The sequence below is a fragment of the Homo sapiens genome, chromosome 3, assembly GCF_000001405.40.
Source record: "Homo sapiens chromosome 3, GRCh38.p14 Primary Assembly".
NCBI classification, from domain to species: Eukaryota; Metazoa; Chordata; class Mammalia; order Primates; family Hominidae; genus Homo; species Homo sapiens.
Window position 1 is genome coordinate 156,493,515 of NC_000003.12, and position 27,839 is coordinate 156,521,353.

The following is a 27,839-nucleotide window of genomic DNA, read 5'->3' on the forward strand; positions in this document are numbered from 1 at the left end:
CAGATTCCCCCAAATGTTAACATCTTCTGTAACCATTTAGAATTATCAAAACCTGGAGATTAACATTAACACAATAATATTATATAATCTGAGTCTTATTCATGTTTCTCCAGCTGCCCACTAATATCCTTTTCTGGCCAAGATCACACGTTGTAGCTACTCATCATGTGTCTTTCATCTCCTGTAAGCTGGATCAGCTCTTCAGGCTTTGTCTTTATAATTTTGACATTTTACAAGACTATCGACTACTTTGTAGAATGTTCTTCAGTTGGAGTTTTTCAGGCATTTCCTAGTGATTAAATTCAGATTAAGCACTTTTGGCAGGAGGACCACAGATATAATGTTGTATCCTTCCCAATACATCATGCTAGAGGGTGCAGAATGTCTAGTTTTCCCATTACTGAAGATGTTAACTTTGATCACTTGGTTTTATGGTGGTACCTACCAGGCTTCTCCACTGTAAAGTTACCTTTAGTAATTAATAAGTCTCTTTGGGGGAGATACATTGAAACTATGCAAATATCCTGTTTCTCATCAGGATGATGCGTAATTTTAGCGTTCATCAGTGATTCTTGCCTGAAACCAGCACTGTTGTGCTTGCCAAGGTGGTTTTCTATTTCCATCACACTTTCAACGTTTGCAGGGGAAGGGGGCAGATTGGCATTCTGCTGTAAAAAAGAACTCTCTCTTCTTCCCCATTTATTTGTTTATTTATATCAATATGAACTCATAGATTCTGATTTTGTTCTATGACTTATAATTCATTACTAGCATTATTTTGTTATTTATGTCCTTTTGTTTGACTGATTGGGAAGCATAATAAAAAATTTGGAAGAGCATGGCTCTTAGGGCTGCCAGTGTTTCCCTAGACTTTTCCCTGGGAAGCCATCCTAATGCCCTTAGTTAAATTTAAACACCCTCCTTTCTCACCTATTCTGCATGGTGCCTCCTTCTCTACTCAGCACTTATCTTTTCCTGCTTTATTGTAGACAATAGCTTATGAGTGAAGGACAGCTTGGGAACTAATGACCTGTTTCTCCACTGTTCTGTATCTGTCCTGTCAAATTCCTATGTTGAAAGAGATTCACGTGTGAAAGTTTCAAGGCAATGAAGGCCAAGTAGGGAAAAGAGACTTCACATTGCTGTGTCACAGAGGAGTGCCTTGTAGTCACACACACTGAGCAGCCATCTGTATGAAGTAAGTGACCTCAGGAAGCAGAATATGGTTCCTGTGGGTTCCCAAAGAAGTTCAAGAGTTAACATTTCATTCCTTCAATGTAACCTGTTATGTTCTGTCAAAGCCTCTTGATCTATCTTGCTGGTTACAAGCAAGTTTGCCAATTTTTTTCTTTTTTTTCCAACTTTTAAGTTCAGGAATACATGTGTAGGATGTACAGGTTTGTTACATAGGTAAACATGTGCCATGGTGGTTTGCTGCACAGATCATCGCATGACCCAGGTATTAAGGCCAGCATCCCTTAGCTATTCTTCCTGATACTCTCCCTCCTCCTACCCTCAACTCCTCAACAGGCCCCAGTGTGTGTGCCCTGCAGTGTGTCCATGTGTTCTCATCATTCGGCTCCCACTTATAAATAAGAACACATGGTATTTGGTTTTCTGTTTCTGCATTAGTTTGCTAGAGATAATGGCCTCCAGCTCCATCCATGTCCCTGCAAAGAACATGATCTCATTCCTTTTTGTGGCTGTATAGTATTCCATGGTATGTGAGGTTGTGAAGAAAAAGGAATACTTTTACACTATTGGTGGAAGTGTAAATTAGTTCAGCCATTGTGGAAGACAGCATGGCAATTTCTCAAAGACACAGAAGGAGAAATACCATTCAACCCAGCAATCCCATTACTGGGTATGTATCCAAAGGAATATAAATCATTCTATTATAAAGATACATGCACATGTATGTTCACTGCAGCACTATTCACAAAAGCAAAGATGTTGAATCAACCTAAATACCCACCAGTGATAGACTTGATAAAGAAAATGTGATACATACACACAATGGAATACTAAGTTTGCTGATTTCTAACTTGCTGAAGTGTTCTCTGTGAACAACAGCAGACTAGAGCCAGACTGCCTGCTATCAAATCCCAGCTCCATCACTTACTAGCTGGGTAACCTTGAACAATTTACCCACCTTTGTTGTGCCTCAGTTTCCTCATGTGCGAAATAAGAATAACAGTAATAACCCTATTCTATCATATTGCTGTGAGGAATAAAGTAGTTAACATGTAAAGTGTTTAGAACATTGCTAGGCACCTTACAGGTACCATATGTGTTAACTGTCATTTTTAATACCCCGGAAGGTAAAAGACCCTTAATATTAATGTAAGGGAGCATCTCAAAATGTCTCATGAAGATAACACAAAAGTTCAGACCATAAAGAGTTAGGGTGAACTAGGAGTCTGGAGTCTGTGCCTGATGAATGTGTAGTCCCTGAGAAGGACAATACATTACACATTTTCTATCACTGACTCCTTCCTACTGCCCTTTGCCTCACAACCAGGCAGGTGTTTCCCCTGAAGCACAAGGAAATGTGTTTGTGTGTGTAAGAGGTGGGTTTGGGAGGCAGGGAGTGAGTTGAAGGAGCCACAGAGTAAATATGTGACATTTTTCTCCATGTCAGTTTTGTAAAGGCACAATATTTGTAAAGATTTATAAAGAAAAATATTATTATTGTTTTAAATCAATTTCTTTCTTATGGTGATACGGTTTGGCTGTGTCCCCACCCAAATCTCATCTTGAATTGTAGCTCCCATAATCCCCACGTGTCTTGGGAGAGACCTGGTGGGAGGTGATTGAATCACAGGGACAGGTGTTTCTGTGCTGTTCTCATGATGGTGAATAAGTCTCATGAGATCTGATGGTTTTATAAAAGGCAGTTTCCCTGCACATGCTCTTTTGCCTGCCACCATGTAAGACGTGCCTTCGCTCCTCCTTTGCCTTCCACCGTAAGAGTGAGGCTTCTCCAGCCATGTGGAACTGTGAGTCCATTAAACCTCCTTTTCTTTATAAATTACCCAGTCTCAAGTATTTCTTCATAGAAGTATGAAAATAGACTAATACATATGGTATAGAACGTTTGCATACATTTTTATGATAAACCCAAAACTATCTAATACTACTTGTTTTTGTAGCCACTTTAGTGGGTCATGTAGTAGAAGCAATGTCTTACCATGATAAACCTTGATGAATCATTCCTTAGCAGAAGATTCTAATGGAGAAAATAAGGGAAAACAGCCAACATTGTATGGGGAATGGGGAAGAGCCTCAGAAACAGCAAGGAAAGTCCCAAAGAAAGAGATTAAGGGCCCCAGATACAACCAGGCAATGTGTGGAATAGTGAAATAGGTACAAGGAAATAAAATGGGGCATCCTAGGGAAGACCCATGGAGACAGGACAGCCTCTTCTGTAATGGCCCTTGCAGTGACAGTTGCCCAGCCACTACTGGGTCAGCCTCACATTTTAACATATAGAGTGACAGATGCTCTATTTTAAAATATTAACATTAATATTTAAAATATTAAACTCCTCCTTGCTGGGTAATTCACTGTTGAAAAACTAAGAAAAGCAGTCTATTCTAACATACCAAGTTTTAAACTTACCTTTTGGTTAGTTAACAGATATCTGACAATATAAATAAGTGCCACAGAGCTAAAATGCATTTGAGACTGCCAGTGAGCTGAGCTGCATGAGTTAAGTGGAGGTTTTAATATCACTAACATTAAGAAAGCATCTCCTTCCAGACATGTGCCATGGCACAACCAGGAAGGAAGGCCAGCTCTACACTATTAAAGGAGCAATGAAGATTGCTTCCTGTTATAGCATGAAACTGGATTTACCAGCAGAAAATCTCATTAGGGTAAATATTTTTTTACTCTTATCAATCCTCTGCTAAGATTCTTGCTTTATTCCTTCATCTACAAGACAGAATTCCTTTTAAAATAGTTAAAAGCCTGTCCCAAGAAGCTGATACACAGACAGCTGTATAAATAAAAATCTCTAGACAGGATAATAGAATAAGAAGTTATGTGTCAAGATTCCACATCCGTCTGTCTGACCAATAAGGATGACATTTACACAATTTAAAAGATCAGAAATTTAAGACTTGAGTCAGATATCTGCAATGCAATGACAGATGCTTCCAAGTATAAAAATAACTGTTCCACTAATGAATATAGAAATATTAGATGCCATGTAGAACTGGTGGGGTTTGGTTAAATTTATTTTTTAGCAACTCAATGAACATTAGGAAAACTATTCTTAGTGAGTATGTTGCCTAATACATCACATTCTGATAGGCCCAAAGGCTTGTTTCTTCAAATGATATAGATACATAGGGTCTTCGAAAAGTTTGTGGAAAAATGTGTATTATGAAAAAACTGTGCATGGACTGCATATTTATTTTGTGCCAAAATAAACTCACACTAACTTGGTATAGCATGTCTAAACAAGATCTAGTTTGAGGCACTAAGAAGGATAAGATGTCAGTTTGAAAAGAGCCCCTGTCAAAGCAACATGATTTCTGCTAAAATTGAAGCAAGTCAAACATCAGATTTATAGTGAAGCTTGGGTGAAAGAATGGTGAAATTATTGATGCTTTATGAAAAGTTCATGGTGACAGTGCCCCCAAAGAAACCAGCAGTTTAAAAACGGATAAATCATTTTAAGAATGGACAAGACAATGTTGAAGATGATGCCCACAGCAGCAAACCATCCACATCAATTTGCAAGAAGAAAAATTCATCTTGCTTATGCCTGGATATGGTTCAGCTGCGTCCCCACCCAAATCTCATATTGAATTGTAACTCCCACAATTCCCACGTGTTGTGGGAGGAACCTGGTGGGAGGTGACTTAATATGAGGCAGGTCTTTCCTGTGCGGTTCTCATGATGGTAAATGAGTCTCATGAGAGCTAATGGTTTTAAATACAGGAGTTTCCCTGCACAACCTCTCTTTTCTTTGCCTGTTGCCATCCATGTAAGACGTGACTTGCTCCTCCATGTCTTCCTCCCCAGCCATATGGAACTGTTAAATCCAGTAAACCTCTTTCTTTTGTAAATTGCCCAGTCTCAGTTATGTCTTTATCAGCAGCATGAAGATGGACTAATACATGACCTAATTAAAGAAGACCAATGATTAACAGTGGAAAGAATATCCAACACCGTAGATATCTCAGTTGGTTCAGTTTACACAATTCTGACTGAAATATTGAAGTTGAGCAAAGTTTTCTTTCCATGGGTACCAAAACCATTGCACACAATGCTGCTGCAGACAAGAGCAGAGCTTTCACTGGAAACTTTAAACAAGTGGAATCAAGATGCTGAAGCATTTCTTTGAAGAATTGTAACAGGGGATAAGCATGGCTTTTCCAGTATGATCCTGAAGACAAAGCAAAATCAAAGCAATGGCTACCAAGAGATGCAAGTGGTCCAGTCAAAGAAAAAGCAGACTGGTCAAGAGCAAAGGTCATGGCAACAGCTTTTTGGGATGCTCAAGGCATTTTGCTTGTTGACATTTTGGTGGACCAAAGAATGATAATGTTTGCTTATTATGAGAGTGTTTTTGAGAAAGTTAGTTAAGGCTTTAGAGGAAAAACATCTGGGAACGCTTTATCAGAGAGTCCTTCTCCATCATGACAATGTTCCTGCTCAAACAAAGGCAATTTTGCAAGAGTTTTGATGGGAAATCATGAGGGATCCATCTTGCAGTCCTGATTTGGCTCCTTCTGCCTTCTTTTTTTGTTTCTTAATCTTAAAAATAATCTTCAAAGGGGACCCATTTTTCTTTAGTTAATAATGTGAAAAGACTATTGATATAGTTAAATTTCTAGGACCCTCAGTTTTTTAGGGGTGAACTAAATGGCTGGTACCACTGCTTACAAAAGTGCCTTGAACTTGATGGGGCTTAAGTTGAGAAATAAAGTTTATACTTTGTATTGTCATCTTTTAATTTCATCTTTCCATGAAATTTTTGAGGTCCCTTCATATTGTTAACCCTCTATGTGCATCAAATCACATAATCAAAAGAGTTTGCATGAAATACAAATGTGGATGAAGAAAAAGGGATAAAGATATTTTGCTTCATTCTGTTTGAGCTTGGGGGCTAGTGGGTAGGGCTGGTTTTAGAGAGAAATTTAAAACTGGCTTCATCAAATTTTCATCCTCCTGAACCTGATTTTTTCAAACATAAAGTGGGAATGTAATAATACCACCTCATACGGCTGTGGCAAAACATAAATGCAGTAATGGAAAAATTCCCAGCCCAGAGCCAAGCACAAGGTAGGCACTCAGTAGAGTCCATGCCCTCTCTGTCCCTCTGTTGCCATGTGGCCTAGGAACCCAGCTCCCTGGTGTGACCCACAAGACCCAATCTAAGCAGAGTAGAAATTGTTGCTTGTCTACCCAGCAGCCACCCTGCTTTCTCAGGTGCCCAAATTTTCATATGGGGGTGACTCTTTTCCAAGATTGCCAGTTGACCCAGAGGAAGACTGCATTACTCTCTCCTTGCCACTCCTTGGTTGCAAGGTAGGCTCTGGGTTGTAAGCTAAATGATCCTTTTGTTTTTCCCCTTTGGCCAGAGTCATTGGTTTATGTGACAGGAACAGCCTAGAGTAAATCTCAGAAGTCTTTCTTGGAATGATGAAGCAGAGGGCCCAGCTGAATTAGGTGCAAGGAAGCACATGACCTCACACGTTACTGACAGCCACACCAGTGCCACAAGGGAAACCAGCCTGGGGATAGCAGAGTGGAGGGTTAGACAAAAGATTGGTCCTCAGTGATTTGTGGGAACAATCATTCCTGAAGCACCATGTGACTGCATTTCCAGTGACATGAGCAGATAAATCTTTTACAATTTAAGACTTCCAATTGAGTTTTCAATAACTTACTCCATTTAAAAAGAAAAAAAACCTAATTAATACATCAAGAAGTTAGAGACATCTTTATTTCTCAGTAAGAAATACTGCAACCCAAAGCTCAAGAGAATTGCAAAATAAAAAAACTAACAATTCTTAAAGATATTATCTTTAGACATTTTTATATATTATAGTTAAATGAAGGGTAACAACAACTTATATCTTTCCACATGTTGCTGATTAGGTTTATTAATTGTTTCTGATATATAAAAAAGTCTCGTTTAGCTATTCTAAGTTAGAATAAATTGGATCTATCAAATAAACCTACAGAGTAGGTTAATTTCCTTATTTATTTCTGTATACGTTTTGTAGATCATTCATTCTGGTACATTCACTGGAAAAATCAGGTTATTGAAAATCAGATGTTTGTGGAAGTATCATCATCAATGGCAGTGATGAGTAACTGGTAACACCTGCTTTGAAAATTTTCTAGGTCAAAACTATCTTGACCACGTTCTATGATAGAATTTGAGGGGCTTCACTGACTACATATCAATATACTAGCATAGACTGCAGCAGTTGAGTCTCATACAGGGATAAGATAGCCTTCTAACCAGGCAAATGTCCTGAAGTAGGCCTTTCCGTCTCTACTAGAGGCCGCTGTCATTGTCATCTGCTCCTTTGATTTCTAAAATATAATTACCCTCAATACAGAACACCAGTATGACAAGGGGAAAACATTAATAATGCATGAGATTCCATAGTCAGCTTCCATTCTCCTCCTCGGGGAACTGCTATTTACCTCCATAGAAACAAAAGGAAGGGAAAATGAGAGTCCAAAAAGCCTGCACAGGCAAGAAGAAACCATTTAGAATATTTTTTAGAATATTAAGTAAGTAGGAATAAAAAGATTTTAAAAGATGTGCAAGGAGTATATGGTATATGAATAAATTTATAAAACTTTACTGAAAGACATTATAGGAGATTGAATAAATGCAGATATATCCTAAGTCCATGGACAGGAAGACTTAGTACCTTTTTTTTTTTTTTTTTTTTTTTTTTGAGAGGAGTCTCGCTCTGTTGCCCAGGCTGGAAATCGCAATGATGTGGTCTTGGCTCACTGCAACCTCTGCCTGCGAGGTTCAAGGGATTCTCGTGCCTGAGCCTCCTGAGGATCTGGGATTACAGGCATGTGCCACCATGCCTGGCTAATTACTGTATTTTTAGTAGAGACGGGGTTTCACCATGTTGCCCAGGCTGGTCTTGAACTCCCGGCCTCAGGTGATCCACCCCCCTCAGCCTCCCAAAGTGCAGGGATTACAGGCGTGAGCCACTGCGCCCGGCCTGACTTAGTACCTTAAAGATGCTGTATTAGTCCATTTTCATGCTGCTGATAAAGACATATCCGAGACTGGGAAGAAAAAGATGTTTAATGGGACTTACAGTTCCACATGGCTGGGGAGGTCTCAGAATCATGGTGGGAGGTGAATGGCACTTCTTACATGGTGGCAGGAAGAGAAAACGAGGAAGAAGCAAAAGCAGAAACCCCTGATAAACCTACCATATCTTGTGAGACTTATTAACTATCATGAGAATAGCACGGGAAAGACCAGCCCCCATGATTCAATTACCTCCCTCTGGGTCCCTCCCGCAACATGTGGGAATTCTGGGAGATACAATTCAAGTGGAGATTTGGGTGGGGACACAGCCAAACCATATCAGATGCCAATTCTGCTAAATGTGCCCTATTCCAACCAAAATCCTTCCAAGCTTTTAAAATAATTTGATAAGCTAATTATAAAATATATAAGAAAGGGTAATGGGCCAAGAAGAGCCAAATGACTCCTGAAAATGGGTAAAGTGGAAGGGAAGGACATGCCCTATCACAGTACCAGCACTCATTATGAAACCTCAGTAATTAAGGAAGGTACTGGCTATGGGATAAATTGATGTAATATAATATTAGTCCCTATAATAGAGACTCCAGAAACAGACACTAGCATTTATAAAACATTGATATTTGACAAAAGTACTCTAGAACATCAGTGGGAAAAGAAGGGACTATTCAATAAATGGACATGGAAAAAGTGGCATTCTATTTTCTATAATATGAAAAAAAAATGAAACCAGATCCCTACCTTACAACCACACACACACACACACACACACACACACACACACACACACAAATTCAAGATGAATCAGAAACTTAGGTGACAAGAACAAAACTTTACAAATTTTAGAAGGACAAATAATTCTTTTTCAAATTTTAACATTTTCATTTGTGTCAGGGAAATATCCCACATCAGGGTAAGACCCATGTTCAAACTATAAAAGTTGCTTTTTTACAGACTGAGTTAGTTCAGTAACATTGCCAAAGGAACCCCCAGGATGCTAAGAGGATCAGTGTCCTACAACCTAGTAATGATAAAACTTTTAGCTTCACAAATGAAGATATAAGTCAGGTATCTAGGAAAGTTGCACAGTCCTGTAATTTCAGTTCACTTAGGTTTGTTTGTTTGTTTAAATTTGTTCATTGCCTTGCTCCAGATAAAATTTAAACTGATGGGTTTACTTTCATTTTGAGTGTTTTTAAATGAATTAGAATTCATTGCACTATTCACAAATCCTATAGAATTTGACATATGCAATAATAGCATTGTACTCTATACTCATTGTGGATGCCACCTCACTTTTATCAGGATAGAATAACCTCTTTAATTACTACCATTTAGCATTAACCAAACACAGCAAACTGATTACTTGGAATCACCAGGTTTTAGTAGAAAACGGTGGGGCTATATTTAGATTATGTTGAAAGAAAAGGTGCAATTTTGTGAACCATATTCTACATAATTATTTCTTGGAGCATGTCAGCAGGCAGTGGTAAGTCTAGGTGAGAAGCTGGAAAAACTGGGGGTGGTGATAAAAGAATTACAGGGAAATAATGAGGATAGAGTAGAAAGCTCTCTTATTGCTTTGGGCAAGTCACTTCGCCATTCTTATCTAAATGTAAGATGAACAACTGCTGTCTTGCTAGGATTAAAGAGTACATGTCTGGTGGAGCAAGAAATAATATTAAGAGGATATAGCATCCCATAGCCTCCCCTTGTAGGGAGAGTTGTACAAGGAGTGAGCAGAGTTCCCAGGACAGCCTGTGTCTGTCTGTTTGGGAGAAATCACAGCAAGGTCAAGCTCTCAATTCAGGGAACTGTTCTTACTTGCAAGTTCTACAAATGGGAATTTTAGGTTCTAAAGTTTTATTTTCTTAGAGATGAGGTGAAAGATAAAGGTGGAGGGAAAGATCACAGGGGCAATGCCACAAAGCTCAAACAAGACCAAATAATCTCTCAACCTCCATTTATTTATTCTCTTATTATTATTTTTAGTTGACACATAAAAATTGTACATATTTATGGAGCACAGTGTGATATTTTGCTACCTGTATACAATGTGTTGTGATCAAATCAAAGTCATTAACATATCCATCACCTCAAACATTTATCATTTCTTTGTGTTGGAAACATTCAAAATACTCTATTCTAGCTATTTGAAAATATAGAACAAACAATTGTTAACTATAGTCTCCCTACAAAGCTACAGAACACTAGAACTTATTCCTCCTATCTGGCAGTAATATTGTGTTTATTAACCAAACTCTCCGTATCCTCCTTTCCCTCCCACTCATCCCAGCCTCTAGTTACCACTATTCTTTTCTCTGCTTCTATGAGATCAACTGATTTAGCTTCCACATATGAGTGAGATAAATATGAGTATTTATCTTTCTGCACCTGGCTTATTTCACATAATATAATGTCCACCAGGCTTATCCATGTTGCCACAAATGACAGTATTTAATTCTTTTTTAGGGCTGAATAATATTCCATTGAGTATCTATAACACATTTTCTTTATCAATTCATCTGTTGATGAACACTTAGGTTGATTCCATATCTTGGCTAGTGTGAATTGTGCCGAAATAAACATGAGAGTGCAGGTATCTCTTCAACATATGATTTCCTTTCCTTTGGATATATAATCAGTAGTGAAACTGATGGATCATATGGTAGTTCTAATTCTAGTTTTTTGAGAAACTTCCATACTATTCTGCATAATAGCTGTACTAATATACATTCCTACCAACAGCATATGATTTTCCTTTTCTCCACATTCTTGCCAGCATTTTTTTTTGTCTTTTTGATGGTAGCCAGTCTAATGGGTAAGATGGTATCTTATGCCTTGTTTTTGTTTTTTTAGAGACAGGGGCTTCCTGTTGGCCCGTTGTATGTCTTCTTTAGAGGAATATTTATTCAGATCATTTGCCCATTTTTAAATTGGATTACTTGTTTTGTTTTTGTTTTTTTTGTTTTTTTTTTTTTGCTGCTGAGTTGTTTGAATTCCTTGTATATTCTGAAAATTAATTCCTTGTTAGATGAATAATTCACAAATATTTTCTCCCATTCTCTAGGTTGTCTCTTTACACTGTTGATTAGCTCCTTTGCTGTGCAGAAGCTTTTAGTTTAATATAATTCCATTTGTCTGTTTTTGTTTTTGTTGCTTGTGCTTTTGAGGTCTTTCCCATAAAATCTTTGTCCAGACCAATTTCCTGAAGCATTTCCCCTGTTTTCTTCTAGTAGTGTCATAGCTTCAGGTCAGGTCTTACATTTAGGTCTTTAATCCATTTTGGGTTGATTTTTGTACATGATGAGAAATAGGAATATAGTTTCATTTTTCTGCACATGGATATCCAGTTTTCCCAGAACTATTTATTGAAGAGAATTCCCTTTCCCCCAGTGAATGTTCCTGGAACCTTTGTCAAAAATCTGTTGGCTGTAAATATGTGAATTTATTTCTAGTCTATTCCATTGATCTATGTGTCTGTTTTTATGCCAGTATCACACTATTTTAGTTACTATATCTTTGTAGTATATTTTCAGGTCAAGTAGTATGATATCTCCAGCTTTGTTCTTTTTGCTCAAGATTGCTTTGGCTATTCTGGGTCTTTTGTGGTTCCATGTAAATTTTAGGATTGTTTTCTCTATTTCTGCAAAGAATGTAATTGGAATTTTGATAGGGATTACATTGAATGTATAGATTGCCTTGGGTAGTATAGTCGTTTTAACAGTATTAACTCTTCCAATTTGTGAACATGAGATGTCTTCCTATTTTTTGTGTGTTCTCTTCAATTTCTTTCATCAGTTTCATAATTTTAATTGTAGAGATTTTTTACCTTCTTAAATTTATTTATAGGTGTATTATGCCATTTTTGCATTGCTATAAAGAAATACCTGAGGCTAGGTAATTTATAAAGAAAAGAGGTTTAATTGGCTCATGGAGCTGCAGGTTGTACCGAAAGCATGGTGCTGGCATCTGCTTCTGGTGAGGGCCTCAGGGAGCTTATAATCATGGTGGAAGGCTAAGAGGGGGAGAGGGAGTGTATTACAAGGCTAGAGGGAGTAAGAGAGAGAGAAAAGGGAGATCCCAGACTCTTTTAAACAACCAGCTCTCATGTGAACTGAGTGAGTGAGAACTCTTATCACCAAGGAGATGATGCCAAACCATTCATGAGGGATCCACTTGATGATCCAATCACTTCCCACCTGGACCCACCTCCAACATTGTGAATCACATTTCTACATGAGATTTGGAGAGGACAAACATCCAAACCATATCACTTGGTATTTAATTTTTTGTGGCTATTGTAAATGATATTGCTTTCATGATTTATTTTTCAGCTAGTTTGTTGTTATCGTATAGAAATGGTACTGATTCTCGTATGTTGATTTTGTGTCCTGCAACCTTAATGAATTTATTGATCAGTTCTAAAAGGGCTTCTCTTTTTAACTCATTTATTTTTTCAAGGTGAAGGCTGGGCTAAAGATGACCAAACATTTTTCACCATGGTCTCCTGCATAGGTGGTCTAGTGCTTCACTTTGGAACTCAGGGGTACTTAAAAACAACAGTTGCTGTTCAGAGCCTTTGGACTTGAGCTAAAAGTGAGACTAAAAGTGTCCCATTTCAATAACCTATTTCACATTTTAGAATAAGGTTCTGAAATCATATTTGGGCAATATCAAAGGCTCACTTCAAACTGTCTAGAGTCAGGGAAAACCAGTGTGTGGCAGAGAGGAGAGGTTGAGGACCATGTGCTCTTTAGGGAGGGTTCTCTCAGGGTAGCTACAGGGTGGAGGAAAATGCATTGCCTTCAGAGACATAAAGCTCCATTCTTGGGTCGGAGTTTTGAAGAAGGTTCAATTTCTCCAGATAGAAGAGGTTTTATTGACTTGGCTCAGTGCATGAATTCCTTTCTAGTCTCTTGAATCTGTTCTGTTCTGATTCAGAATCAGTTTGGCCAGTGCCCTGATCCAGAAAGCATATTCCCTATAAACTGCCCTGTGAAGACCACTCTTTCTTTAAGCTTTGACAGATCAGATGCAGACACCAGCCCTTTTTTTGCCTCTCTTTTCAAAGAGTCATCAGATTTTAGTTTTTCTTCGAAAAAAAACAAAAAGAAAGCTCATATTTCCCAAGTCATTTATACTCATCATGAACTATAGCCATCTGTGTATTAAATGCAAAGGGATGGATGGATATAACCACACAAGGCATCACATGTTCACAAACACACAATGAGGTGAATTAAGTAAATGCTCTGTTAGTTTTCTCTCCCCAAACCATCTTCTCCATCAATGCATTATGCAAAGAACCTCTCACGATGACAGATCACAGAACTTCAAAGCTAGATGGGGTCTATAGACTATCTGCTGAGACCTGGCCCAAGTGATTTTATCTTTCTGAGTCTCAGGTTCTTCCTCAACAAAATGGGATTCAAATATTCCCACCTAAACAGTTACTGTCAAGATTAAGTATATGCTTAATTAATATCAATCTGCTCATTTGCATTGAAGAAACTGAGATCTCAGCAAGGACAAGAGATGTCAAAGGTTAGTGACTGTGATGGGACCAAAAAAAAACAATGTCTCCTGCATCCTAATACATGCTCTGTAAGGCAAATGGAACCAGGCTGTCCTCAGACATTCAGCAAACCTTTAAGATATGTGACTCATGATCCATACTAAGGATGACATCATTTCATTTATGATTATAAGTTTCCAGTCCTCTGAAGAATGATAGTCCTCTATCTCCAGGCATCAAGCTGAGAGGATTCTCTGCAGCTCAGAATATGAAGGACTGATCAAGATTCAAGATGATTCCTCTAAGCTTCAAAGCAGTACAGTTATAAACCACCACCACCACAAGCTTCTGAAGTTAAATAAATAAACAACTTAAGGTAGATAAATCACAAACAGCTGACCTGAAGTAAAAATTGTGCCTAGGTCTAGGCCTATTTTTTATTAGTGTTAACAGCAACTCCTCTGATGAAACCAAATTCTTGCATTATACCAGTGTTGTAGCCTCCATCTTGATCCTTGCCTCTTAAAAAAAAAAATCTGATATCAGCTGGGTTGAACCATAGGATACTGTCAATATTAAACTATTATGGGGCTCTAAAAATAGCAATTTTATTTGGTTAAATATATAATATGTTAGTGTCTAAAGTGGTGCCTTTGCTTGTTAGATAATCATTCTTCTTTTTTACATAAAAGTATAACATATTTACTGGAAATGTGAAAAATTAAGAACAAAATTGCATGTAATTCCACTAAATAATACAATTATTTTGCATGTTTTTTCTCAGTATTTTGCAAGCATATTTAAAATATTTATAATTGTTAATAATATTCAAGCTTTTAATTATGCCTAAAAACTTCACTCCTAACCTGTTTCCTCATCTAGAATAAGAAGGAACTGCACTGGATTACCTCTAAGGCTTCTTTTGCTTTTATCTTTTTTATCTTTTGCTTTTATCTCTGTGGCCAGATTAATTTGAGTACATTTTATCTGATCAAAACATTAATTTCTAATAAGCATATTTTTATCTTTACCCCTATGGCTTATTGTTCATGCAGTACAACTATTTGCTTACAACTTTCAAAGTTCTAGGGAACATTTTGCAGGAAAAAAAGTTTAATGTGAGCTACCACTTTTGGCATGTGATCCAATTTAGAAAATTAAAATATTGATCAACCAAAATTGTTTTCACTCAGAACAAATAGTTGTATTAATTTCTTTGACATAAAATGCATATTTTTTAAAACATTGATGGCCTACATTACTGAAACAACTGTCCCCAAAATGTTAGAATCTGGGCCTATTTGAGAAGAAACCTGGGCCATTTTCAGTTTGTGTTACTGTTTCAAATTCACAAGTTATTCTACACCCATTATCCCACGTCAAGCTTTGAAAGAATTTCACAACATCCATATCATTTCTCACTTTACAGAAGGAAATTGAGTACTCAGGGAAACAAAGTGGACCTGCAGCATTTATAGGGAGCCACCTGTGTGCTAGGGATACAGGGAGTATGTACGAGAGCTGCCTGTGGCGGGTGAGCGCTGGGGAGGCATCATTAGGTTAAAGAATAATGATTATTTCAACCTGGAAAGGAGCGCAGAGGGAGGACTTAACAAAGTCTTTCAATAGTTTAGTCAGTTTTTCTAAAAGTTTGTGATTGAGAGCTAATGAAACTAATACAAAGGCCCTGGCTCACTGAAGGAGGCTAGGACCTGGACCTCAGCATTTTTGCCAAATTTCCCAGGCGATTCTGATTCATGGTGGTGGAGTGGGGCGGAGGGGAAAGAGGGAGAGGAAGAGAGAGAGAGAGTAGATATCATACTAGCTATCTGTTTGCTTATGTACTAAGGCAAATAACTAAAGATTATAGCATGAAGCACTTGGGTTAGATAAAAAAGCAAAAGAGGAAATATAGGAAGACGTTTGTATCCATTGAAATGGCTTACTTGGGAATAGTATAAAGCAGTGTGTGTCAGCATTACTTGAAAGGCTGCTTAAAACACATATGCAGACTTTGTAATTTACTAAGTCTGGGGTGAGGCCCTGGGATTTGCATTTGTAACAAGTTTCCAGGTGCTGCTGCTGCTGCTGCTGCTGCTGCTGCTGGTCCAGGAGCTACACCCTGAGACCATTGGTGTAGACAAGCACGTTGGTTCTAAATCCTGGCTGCACACTAGAATCATCATCTGGGATGAGTTTTTAAATTATTATCGATGCTGGGGCCTCACCCCCAAGAGATTCTAATATAATAGAATTTCAGTGGAGCCTGGGCCTGGATAGTTTGTAAAGCCCCCACTCCAGGTGTTTCTAATATGTAGTCGGAGTTGAGAACCACTGGGATTAAGGCTTCTGGAAAACTAGGGAAGGAGCCCAGACCAGGAGAGTCACATTCAGTACTGGGTTATCAGGTTTAATCACATTTGTCTGAGTCTCCTTTCCCAGAGGCAGGTGATGCAGTGCACTAAACTATCTTTCTAACATCCTTTCCTCACTCAGAATTGTTATTCTGCCTAGGAGGCTTTTAAAAGGCATCTCCATGTTATGCACTTAACAGTATCTAGAAGACAGTTGATTTTTCCTTTCAGCAATGCTGCCCTCTAGTGTTCTTAATTATTCAAATCATGTAAAAACCCACCTTGGCCATCAGTATGGTTGTTTCCTATTAGTAAGCTAAACGAATTTTTCTCTGAAATAGAATTAAATTTTAATTCATGGCAACATGAATCTCCAAAACTGCAGCCTCTTGGTTCTCCTGCAATTTCTCCCTGCTTTTGATGTTGCAGCCTCCTTCCAGGACAAGAACTCACAGAGTTCCCTTTTCCCAATTCCACCAAGCTTTTCTCTTCAGAGTCAAAACTAAACAATGAGGAAAAAACTACCAGCAACAAAAAGACCTGAGGCATTGGAGTGCCTCGCAGAGGCTCTCCTCACCTTTTTCTCATTTCTGCTACACATCTCATGCCTCCTTTTACACTTGGTTCACAGTTTATTGAGACTAGAATTCATCAAACAGGTGCTGCCATGTCTTCCCATGATGGTTCTACAAACCTCCCTGGGTCCCATCATCTTGACAAAAGTGTCCTTCTTACCTCTAGGGGCTCTGTCCCTCCTCCCTCTCCCTTTATCAAGTCTCTCTCCCTCTTCCTTCCCAGCCCCGAGGCCATTTCATCAATAACTCCCTCTTCCTAGGTCACTCCAAATGGCACACAGGCTTACTCTTAATGTCCCGTGACCCTGAATATCCCTTCAGCTCCTGTCCTATTTCTCTTCCAAACTTATTGAATGCATTGTGTTTAAGGCCTCTCCTTCTTCCACTCATTCTTCCATTGAGTGGCTTCCAATGGCTCCAACCTTGCTTGATCCCATCACATCACTGACACTGAAGCTGCTTTTCTCATGGTCTGCAGTGGTCTCCCTACATATGGCCAAATCCAGTGGACACTGTTTGGGGCTGTTCTGACACAAATGTCCATGGCGTTCCACCCTGTGGGCATGGCTCCCTCTTGAAGTGCCCTCTGCTCTTGGTCTGACACATCCCTGTGTGCCGGCTTCCCTCCTGCCCCTTTGGCTGCCGGCTACCCAGCATCCTGCATGGGTCCTCTCTCTAACCCCTGGGCTGGCCATCAGAAACTCTTCTCTTTTCTGTCTATAGACTTTCCTTACAAGGCTCATCCATTTTCATGAATTTAAATATAATCAATAGACTGGTAACTAATAAATGTATATACACCTCTGGCCCAGATTGCTCACTGTCGTATTTATCCAACTATTAAATATCCACTTGACATCTCCCCTTTATTTTTTATTTTTTATTTTTTTTGAGACGGAGTCTTGCTCTGTCCCCCATGCTGGAGTGCAGTGGCGTGATCTCGGCTTACTGCGAGCTCCACCTCCCAGGTTCATGCCATTCTCTTGCCTCAGCCTCCCGAGTAGCTGGGACTACAGGCACCCGCCACCACGCCCGGCTAATTTTCTGTATTTTTAGTAGAGACGGGGTTTCACCGTGTTAGCCAGGATGGTCTCGATCTCCTGACCTCGTGATCCACCCGCCTCGGCCTCCCAAAGTGCTGGGATTACAGGTGTGAGCCACCGTGCCCCGCCCGTCATCTCCCTTTTAGTATCTCACATGCATCTCCATTTTTCACATGTCCAAAGAAGAACCCTCGATTTTTCTCCCAAACCTGTTCTTCCTTCAGTCTCCCTTATCTCTGTAAACAGCCAGATATCTGGGAAACAGCTTTAATTCCTCCCTTTCCCTGACCACACTCAGTCCATCTGTAAGTATTGTGGATTCTGCCTTCAACATCTATTTTGAATCCATCCACCACTCTCTCTGTTTGCCATCATCACCCTATTACAAATCACCCTCATCTCCTGCCTAGAATACAACAATACCTTCCTCAAGCTCTTTCTACTTCCTCCAGTCCTCCCTGTTACTAATGATTCTCCACAGCACAGAGACTGTTCTGAAATGCAAACTATATTCTACCATCCCCTTACCTGATAAAATGTTAATGCCTTGATTAAACCTTGAATAACATACAAATGACATGGTTTGCCCTCTGCCAACTTCATCTCATACCCCTGTCCTCCTTCCCTCCCATTGCTGGGACTCACTAAGCTCTGTCCTTCCTCAGGGCCTAGGCGCATACTACATCATCTGCCTCGAATGCTCTTCCACTGTTCTTCACAAGGATGGTTCCTTTTTTCTTTTTTATGCCTAAACATGATTGCTCTTCAGTGAGACCTTCCTTACTGCACTAAATATGTCTTCTCTTTCATTTCCTGTCCCAGTCCCCTGTGTTATTTTCTTTATAACACTTTACATTTTATAATGACTTACTTGTTTACCCCTCCATCTCTCACTCAACTTGAAACTCCCTGAGTCCAGGAAATTTGTGTCTGTTTTACTCACAGAAGAATCCAGCAACCAGCACAGTGACTGGCAAACATTAAGCTTTTAATACTTGTGTGTTGTATAATTAAATGCATGTGCAGGAAGAGTCACAACTTCCACTCCATCTTCACTGCTTTTGTCAAGGACTCCCACGTGCCCAAGCCACCTGTCAGCATTCTGTGCCTGTCTTACTTGATGGCAGAGACAGAGTTAAGGGAGAGGCCAGGTCCAGTTTATTCTCTGTTAACCTCTTCTGTGTTTATCAGCATGTTTGATTCACCACAGTATCTCCAGCACCCAGAACAGCAGACACCTAGTAGATACTGTTGATTGGCTGAACTCCCAGCTCTGAATGACACAGGATGTGAAGGGAAAGGGAGCTGGTGCAGTGATGGAGACATCTAAAGACAGAATCTATCTGGGGCAGAGATTCATATCATTGTTTTCAACTTCTGGAACTGTTTATCATAGGCACGCATCTCCATTTGTATAATGAAAGAGAAGAAAAGCGGTTCCTTACACTTTTTTAATCATATGTTTTATAAATGGAGAATGAACTTCATAGTTTTAGTTGCTAGGCAATAATTTGATATTCTAGAGTCTTTCTCCAAGAAAAAGAAAACTATTTTGCTTATAAGCCAGCTTTTACCTCTGTTGGACACACAATGGTGAATGAAAGCATTTCCATCTTCCAAAAAAGAAATCAAGGGCAATTAAAAATAGTTTACAGAAGGACGGGAGCAGTGGCTCACGCCTGTAATCCCAGTACTTTGGGAGGCCGAGGTGGGAGGATCACGAGGTCAGGAGATCGAGACCATCCTGGCTAACACGGTGAAACCCTGTCTCTACCAAAAATACAAAAAGTTAGCCGGGTGTGGTGGCGGGCACCTGTAGTCCCAGCTACTCGGGAGGCTGAGGCAGGAGAATGGCATGAACCCGGGAGGCGGAGCCTGCAGGGAGCCGAGATCTTGCCACTGCACTCCAGCCTGGGCCAAAGGGCAAGACTCCATCTCAAAAAAAAAACAACAACAACAAAAAAGTTTACACCAGCCAAACAAGCAAAGAAGCTAAGACCCTGACTCTGGCCATTTCATTCCAAATCCTGTTCCGTATCAATCTAGACAGTGCCTGCTCATGAGAAATAATAATAATAATAAAAAAATACATCTACTGCAACTCTACTTTGAGACAAGGATTTGGTTCTTCTGAAGGGCATTTAACTGACTGGTATTACTGAGAAATAAAAAATCCCAAGGCCTGTGACCCTTTGAAACTGTCGAGTGACCTGGCATCCTGTTAAACACTGACCTGCTTTGTAGAAGAAATCCAACCCTGTCTGTGAATTTTAACTAAGTTAAACTTGAGGGTCTCCATGCTCTCTTGTTCTGCAGCACATCTGGCTGGTGCCAAGAGGATTTGCTCAGCTCCATCCTCTGGGGAAGGGATTCATTTTCCTGTTTAGGAAATGTGATGTCGAGCTCCATGAGGCTGATGAGCACGCTGGGTGGGACCACAAACAGGCCCCAGTGAAATCAATTATGTGGGTGTCTTAGGACAAAATTTGGTTCAAAGTGATCAAGGACAGGGTGTGTCATTGCAAGCTGTGAGCCACGGTGACTTCGGCTGTTTGTTCAGCATTTAATATGTTTATCTTTCTGCTAAACACATTGTTGTTGAGTCACCTCTCTTAGAGACCCATTCTGTGTGAGGTCCAGCTCTGCAAGTCCAATATACAAAGACAAGCCTTTCACCTTCAATGACCTTACATTCTACAAAGTTGAAACAAATGCCTTCTCTTACTTCTCACTTTAGTCGGGAAGGTACTCAGGCTCTTAAAAAGGTAAATCATGTATTCTTTATTAGGCCAGGAATCATCAAGCAATAAAAGTAAAGGAAGAACTTAAAATGGTCATTATATTTTCAATATCATTTAGTGTTGTTGCTGCAAATGGAAAATGGAATGTCAGTTTGCCCAAAGGTACCATCAGCCTTCAAACCATCAATATTTCCTGTCAGACTATAATGTTGTCACCAATATTAGGCTAATTTTATTAATCAAACAAACAATTGCATTAAGCTTCTAAGCTTTGGCTAGAGGAGTAAAAATCGCATAACTTTGAAAAGTAGACAAATTCATGAAATGCTGTCTGTTTGACCTTCCACAGAAATTGTCCGAGCCATGACACATGTGATAAACCAAGGCATGGCGATGTACTGGGGCACCTCGAGATGGAGTGCTATGGAGATCATGGTAATTTAACTTCTATTTTTAAATGGCTATTGAGTACCTTATTATTGCTTTTCAGATGCCATGCATAAATTGCAAGATCTTTTGCAAACTTTTCTCACAATCACTATGGCACTGGAATTCTAGAATCAATTCCATCATTACAGAGATGGATATTGGAGCCGGAGCTCATCCGTTCAGAATACAACAGAGAATACAGTGTTCTTTGGTGGCAAGAGGGTAAAGTGAATTTCACAGCTAATGAGATATATTAACAGAGTATTCTAGTTTTCTTATAAAAAACTGTATTAACTATACTGTTTATACCAAGCTAATTACAGATACTTTTATATGTTAGTCTAAGTCTTATTTCTTTAGGAACTTAAAAATAGTTAAACTACATTTTCTTTATCGTAGTGTACAATTCACACCTTGACTAATTTGCTCTGGACTTAACTCAATCCAAACCCTCCCAAAGAATTAATAAGGGTTTCCTACCTTTCATATTGCTCTTAGTGAAATCGGTGGTGACAAATTTGCTTATTATTTGGCATCCTACATGTTTCTTGGTTTGTACTGATTTCACCAAAGTAAACATTTCTCATGCATACAAATTACAGCGAAGCCTTATTTCTCATCAGTATAAATTTGGTTGTAATCTCATTCCTCCCTAGGAAGCCTATTCTGTAGCAAGACAGTTCAATATGATCCCACCGGTCTGTGAACAAGCTGAGTACCATCTTTTCCAGAGAGAGAAAGTGGAGGTCCAGCTGCCAGAGCTCTACCACAAAATAGGTAATCTTCAAAATAAAAGCTACTGAGTATTTTTAACAAGAGAAAGATCACTGATTCGGGGAAAAAATAAAAACAGTGTTATTGAAATGCTTTCCTAAATGTCCCTAATTAACATAGACATTGTAAGAACCATGCATTCCAGAGATTGTAGCAGAATCAAAATGTAGCAGAATCTGCATTTAGTCTACAGGGTATCACTGATGAAAGCCAAGCAGAGTTGTAAATTGTGACTGGTATTTCAGCTGTACTCAGCAGGTGTTCAAAAAAAAAATGCATACTGAATAAAAGGAACAACCAATGAATAAGTTCATTTTTCATTGGTGCTTGCTCGAGTAAACAATGACTACCTTTCAAAAAAAATCATGGATATATACATCTGTATCCACTACCCTGGCCCTGGCACTGAGTTAGAAATGGGAAATTCAACAACTATTAAGTCGGGTACTATACATTTGTGCAGATAGAACTAATGCCTTCAGAGACAGGGGAAATATATCTATATATAATATACCCAAGAAATTTAGACATTAGGAAAAGATGAACAAGCCACATTTTCAGGCTTATTTATCAAAAGTTTCCAGAAATAACTTTCTTCCTAAGAAACAGAAGTTCATATGAGCAGGAAAATTCTGGGAAAAGGAGAAAAAGATAAAACTTCAATAACAACCGTAATAATTGTTATTATTGCTCTCACTTATTGAGTGTTTACTATGTACCAGGTGTGTGCTCCTGCTGTGTACCAGGCACTATGTTAGGTACTAAATGGACAAGGACAACAAAACTTCGTGGATGAGCCACATTTTTCAGGCTTTCTGATATGCACTCCCAAGAACTGACAGTCCATGTTTAATTGGCTGATTAAAGAATGAAACACAATTTGTAAGCTCCTAAATTGTAATGGAAAAAAATGCATGCTGATATTAACTCATTTATCTGGCCAGCTTTTCCCTATAACCTACCAAATTCTGTTTAAACACTACTGCCCCCACCGCCACCCACCTTTTGATCCCAATTTGCACAAGCAACTTTCTAAGTTTTTTCTTCTGTAGGTGTTGGCGCAATGACATGGTCTCCACTTGCCTGTGGAATCATCTCAGGAAAATACGGAAACGGGGTGCCTGAAAGTTCCAGGGCTTCACTGAAGGTATTTTTCTCAATGTCTAGAAAAAAGCCTGGGAGTAGGAAGGAGGGAAGAAGGTTGGTAAGAACAGCTCTGCAGCAGCCTAGGGCTTCCCAGCTCAGGCTGACTGTGTTGTCCAGGCCAGTGGCCTCTGGCAGGTTCCCCTAAGCCTTCTGGAGGTCTTGGCTCCTGGCCAGGTATCAGTCAGTCCTTCATAATCTGACTGCGTTGAATATTCTCTTCTTCTGGGGACTAGGAAAAAAGTGCCCAGTGACCTGATTGGACTTGCAGGGCTCAAATTCCTACATTGTTTTTTATTCTTATATTAAAGAAAACATTCCATCATTTGAAACTGATAAAATGCAAAATCTCTTTTCTATATAAGAGGATTCTTACATTATTTCCTTTTCTTGACAAACAAAGTGTAAGCCATAAAGGCTTAATCCATATGAGGCCAAAAGTTGTAGCTGAGTATGGTTGACACTTTTTATTGTGTGTTGGGGGCAGTGGGTTAGAAGGGAAGACTTCAGGAGACAGATACATAGCAAAGCTTCTATCACTTAAAGCAGCTTAAATTCTGCTCTGAAGCAAAAAGATATTCAAGATCATTGACACAAAATTACCTCCATTCAGGACATCTTGATGACTAATTTATTGGAGAGTACTCAAAAATCTCTCCTTATTAATAACAACATGCCTGTTTTTAAAAACTTGAGAGAATGTGTAATAACATTAGAATCACAAATTACTCTCTATTGTCAAGGGAGAGAGAATACAGGCATTTAAAAAATCAGATAAACCGGAGTCCTTCTAAGAGGAAGTATAAGCCTGACACAACTTCTTGCCTCCATCAGCACTAAATTATTGGGAAAACAGCTCAAGTCAAGTCTGAACCACCAATCCTTTAATCATTGTGGCTGTGGCCACTGTGAGCTTCCCTAATCAGAACATTTTCAAGGCTCTAGGCCTTTGACTTTCCTTTCTCTGTGTAACAGTTGAGCTTTTGCTTGTTTGTTCTCTAAAATAATACAACATGAATACGTCCTAAAGCCTGATGACATGGTCCTATTTCTAGTTTTGTATTATTACAAAAAACAATTTTCCTAGAATATTAAATAAGGTCTTGCTTCTGAAAATTAAAGATTGTTCTGAAACAAGTCTAAACAAGTCAGCAAAGACAGACTAAAAGCATCTTAGGAAAGAAGGTATAAAAAGAGGAAGGCAAGAAGGGAGTGAAGAAGGAAGGAAAGGAAGAAGGGAAGCACTGAGAATTACAATTTTACTAAGTACCTACTATGTGCCAAGCACTGAGCTAAGTGTTTTCATTCATCAACTTTTATTCTCACAAACAGAATGGATACAGGTGACTTTTAGTCAGTTGAGCTAAGCATGTTGTCATATGTTCTTTCAGAGGCTTGCTGAAAAATTCAAAGCATTTCTATATATGCAGAGTGTTTGTTCTCACAATAACCTGCTGAGAGGCAGACCATTTTCAGATGCAGGAACTAAAACACGAAGACCTTAAATAACAATCCAAGACCATAAACTCGTAACAGAAAAGGCTGATATTAGAACCCAGGTCTCCTGGCTCTCAAGTTAATTGCCTCCCTCAAAGACATCTTTATTTCTCTTTAAACCCAGGTTTTTAAAGGAGGAAGAAGTAGCTATGATGTATTTGGAGTGCATGATTGTCTAACCTCCATCACTGTTTGAGAAAAGCTTGCAAACAGCTGAAAAATCTTTCACAAATTCACTAGTGAAAGGAAAAAGAAAAAAAGAAAGAGTAATGAATGTTTGAAGGTGGCTAAGCCCAAAAGCAGCTTGGGAAATATTTCTATTGGTGACTTTTATAAAGTCAACTCTGTATCTACTGGAACATCCTTAACAATAAACATTAAGAGCTCTCAACAGATGAAAGGTGGCTGATCACAAAGTATGCTTCTTTAGAGCTCTGCAGACTCTCAAGGCTCTACATTATCAATCTGAGTGTTTTCGGAGTAATATATGTGCACTTATGAAAGCCACTTGAGTATCGTTACCAGAGCAAAAAAATAAAAAGTAAAGGAGGCAAGTATCAGAGCAACCTTTGGAGTGAATGAGGATGCCATGAAAGAGAAAGAGAAAGAAAAGAAAAGAAAAGAAAGAAGGAAGGAAGGAAGGTTAATTAAATTAAAAGATAGATATCTGGGCAAGTAGATAAATAAATTGGTAACGTTCATCCCACCCTAAAAGAGAATAAGTAAATAGTTTGTGTTTCACATTGGCTATTGTTATACTGATAAGATTAAGATGTTAATATTTTGCATCTGTTGTAGTACTGAACTGCAATTGAAGGATAAATTAACTCAGCATAAAAAATACCTATCTAGGGCTCTTTTAGAAAGTAACACTCTTTTTCTGGATTTTCTGGGCCCCCTCCTCTGGCCCCACTACTCTAACAATGATTTCTAAATTTGTGTTATCAGCTCTGACTTCACTGCTGAACTGCACAGCACTCCTTCTTTGTGTCTATTAGACATCTCCAAGTAGAAGTCCCATGGGCATCAGTCATGCCTAATGGAATCTATCCTCACCCCCAGAACCTGCCATTCCTTCTTGCTTAACAGTGCCTCCACCCATCCATCTGGTTGTCTCAGTCAGAAGCCAAAGCATTACCTCAGACTGCCTCCTTTCCTTCCTTATTCCTGTTCAACAAGGCACCAAATCCTCCAGACTCTATCTTGACTCTAAGATCCATCTTGTGCACAGCCCTTGTTTGGATCTTCACCATTTCTTACAAGATTTACTGTAGTAGCCTCCCATCTGGACTCTGATTTCCTCCCCTTTTCTCAACAACCCACCATTGTGACTACTTAATCTTTTTAAAATATTAATCTGACCATATCATAACCCTGCTTAAAATCCTCTAATGATTTCCCAATCATTGCTTATAGGACAAAGCCATAACTTTGTCATAAAGCATTCAAGGAAATTCCCTTGGGATCTAAGTTGAGCCTATTTTTTTTCATTTGTGTCTCCCATATCATACTACTTCATTTTCCATGCAAATGCACTGTACTCTCCTTTGCCTCCCAGAAATGTCCTTCTTTTCATTCTCCTGTGGAATCCCTTCTTATTGCTAAAGACAAAGCTTGGTTGTCTTCCTCTCTATGAAGACTGTCATAACTTTACAAAACTGAGCTATTTGTACCTTCTCTATTATTCCACGAACACTTCTTACAGGGTCTTCTAATTCTCTGGTTGCGAGTAACAAAATCTGATCAGAGAATGGGGACTCTATTGGTTCACAAAGACAATCCTTGAGAAGTACGGAGTGGCCTCAGCAATGACTGCATCCATGGACTTGTACATTGTCATGACTTTCCATCTTCTCTATTTCTCTCTACATGTGGGTGTCATTTTCTTCTACTATAAATGAGGCCAGGAGCAGGAAAACTGGTGGTTGCAGGCTTGCATTTCTAAAGGCATGTAACCTAAGATAAAAGCAATCTTTTCTTTACCAACTTCAGTCCAGAGATGACTGGACAAGCTTAGGTCATGTGCCACCCTGTGAGACCAATGACAGTGGCCAAAAGGGTAAGGTACTGTGATCAGCTCAGGTTGTGCACCATCTTGTCATGGCATTTTCCATTAGAAGGCAGTAAAGACATAGCTTGTAAGGAAATCATTGACAGGAGTGGAACCCCAACAAAAAAACACTTCCCATGTTACTAGGTAATGATTTGTGAATACATCTAGGACACAAACTGAAACCTGCTCATCTGACTCATCACAGAGCCTGATGAGTACGTAAGAGGTACATAAGTCTTTGTTAAATTAATTTGATGAGCCATAACAAAATCAATAAAGTCTGATCAAGAGACCAGGTGTATAGCTTCTAAATAGAAATAAATAGTGCAATAAAATTTATTGGCAGCTCCTCCCTGTTGATGGCAAAATGCTTTCTAGAAAAATTATAGGCCAGGTGTGGTGGCTCATATCTGTAATCCTAGCACTTTGGGAGGTGGAGGTGGGCAGATCGCTTGAGCCCAGGAGTTTGAGACCAGCCTGGGCAAAATGACGAAACCCCATCTCTACAAAAATACAAAAAATTAGCCAGGTATCATGCTCACCTGTAGTCCCAAATACTCAGGAGGCTGAGGTGGGAGGATCACCTGAGCCTGGGAGGTCAAGGCTGCAGTGAGCTGAGGTCATGCCACTTCCCTCCAGCCTGAGCAATACAATGAGACCCTGTCTCGAAAAAATATTACAAAATTATGTACCCCTCTGTCAAAGAAAAATAAGAAGCATGCACACCTCGATGAATCAAAGTTGGGAGAGAGGGGTGGTCCAAGTACATCAAGTGTTCATATTAAGAAACTAAGCATATTGTACATTATGGTAAAATTTCAGAAGGCAAGTTTTCGGCTCTAGCATTTTACCTAGAGATCTCAACCTCATTAGTGACTTTGTTTTTGTTTTGAGTCAAAGACTTTGAAGTTTAAGTAAAATAGTCAACGATCTTGGTTGTTAAATTATTCTAGACAGTGTTCAGAACTGAAATGTGACTGATTCTGTCCATGGCTCCAGTTTCAGCCTGAGTTCAATCCAAGATTAACTAACAACTAATTAGGGATCTGGGGCAAGTCTCACAGACTATTCTTACCCCAATATCAATACCTATGAAATAGGGACATATAAAATCATCATAGCATTGGGAGAGGGCAAAGAAATAGGCTTTAGGAAAATTTAGAGTTTTGTAACATACATAAAACTAATAGCCAACTAATCTGTAGAGCAAAGCTCATTCAATTGTCCCTTTGACAAATATTTAATGAGTATACCCAGACTTTGTGCTGGGTGCTGAGGACACAGGGATGAATGGGACAGTCTCAACCCTCAAGGAGTAGCTCCGGGACTTGTAATAGGGACAGACATATGAAGGGGTGAATTATGAAATAATATGGAAGCCACAAGCCCTGTGGAGTCCCACAGGACTGCTGGCAGAGTCACACTGCATTGGGGAGGAGGTGT

General features: G+C 39.2%; 1 protein-coding gene across 10 annotated transcripts in view; it reads left to right on the forward strand.

Moving 5' to 3' along the window:
• Positions 1–27,839, forward strand: part of KCNAB1 (potassium voltage-gated channel subfamily A regulatory beta subunit 1) — a 420,928-nt gene that overhangs the window by 375,304 nt on the left and 17,785 nt on the right. For all 10 annotated transcript variants that reach the window (XM_017007171.3, NM_001308217.1, NM_172160.3 and 7 more), the window contains 3 exons: positions 20,850–20,935; positions 21,586–21,706; positions 22,756–22,850. In XM_017007171.3, the coding sequence (XP_016862660.1) occupies positions 20,850–20,935; positions 21,586–21,706; positions 22,756–22,850 (302 nt within the window). The remainder of the gene's footprint in view (positions 1–20,849; positions 20,936–21,585; positions 21,707–22,755; positions 22,851–27,839) is intronic.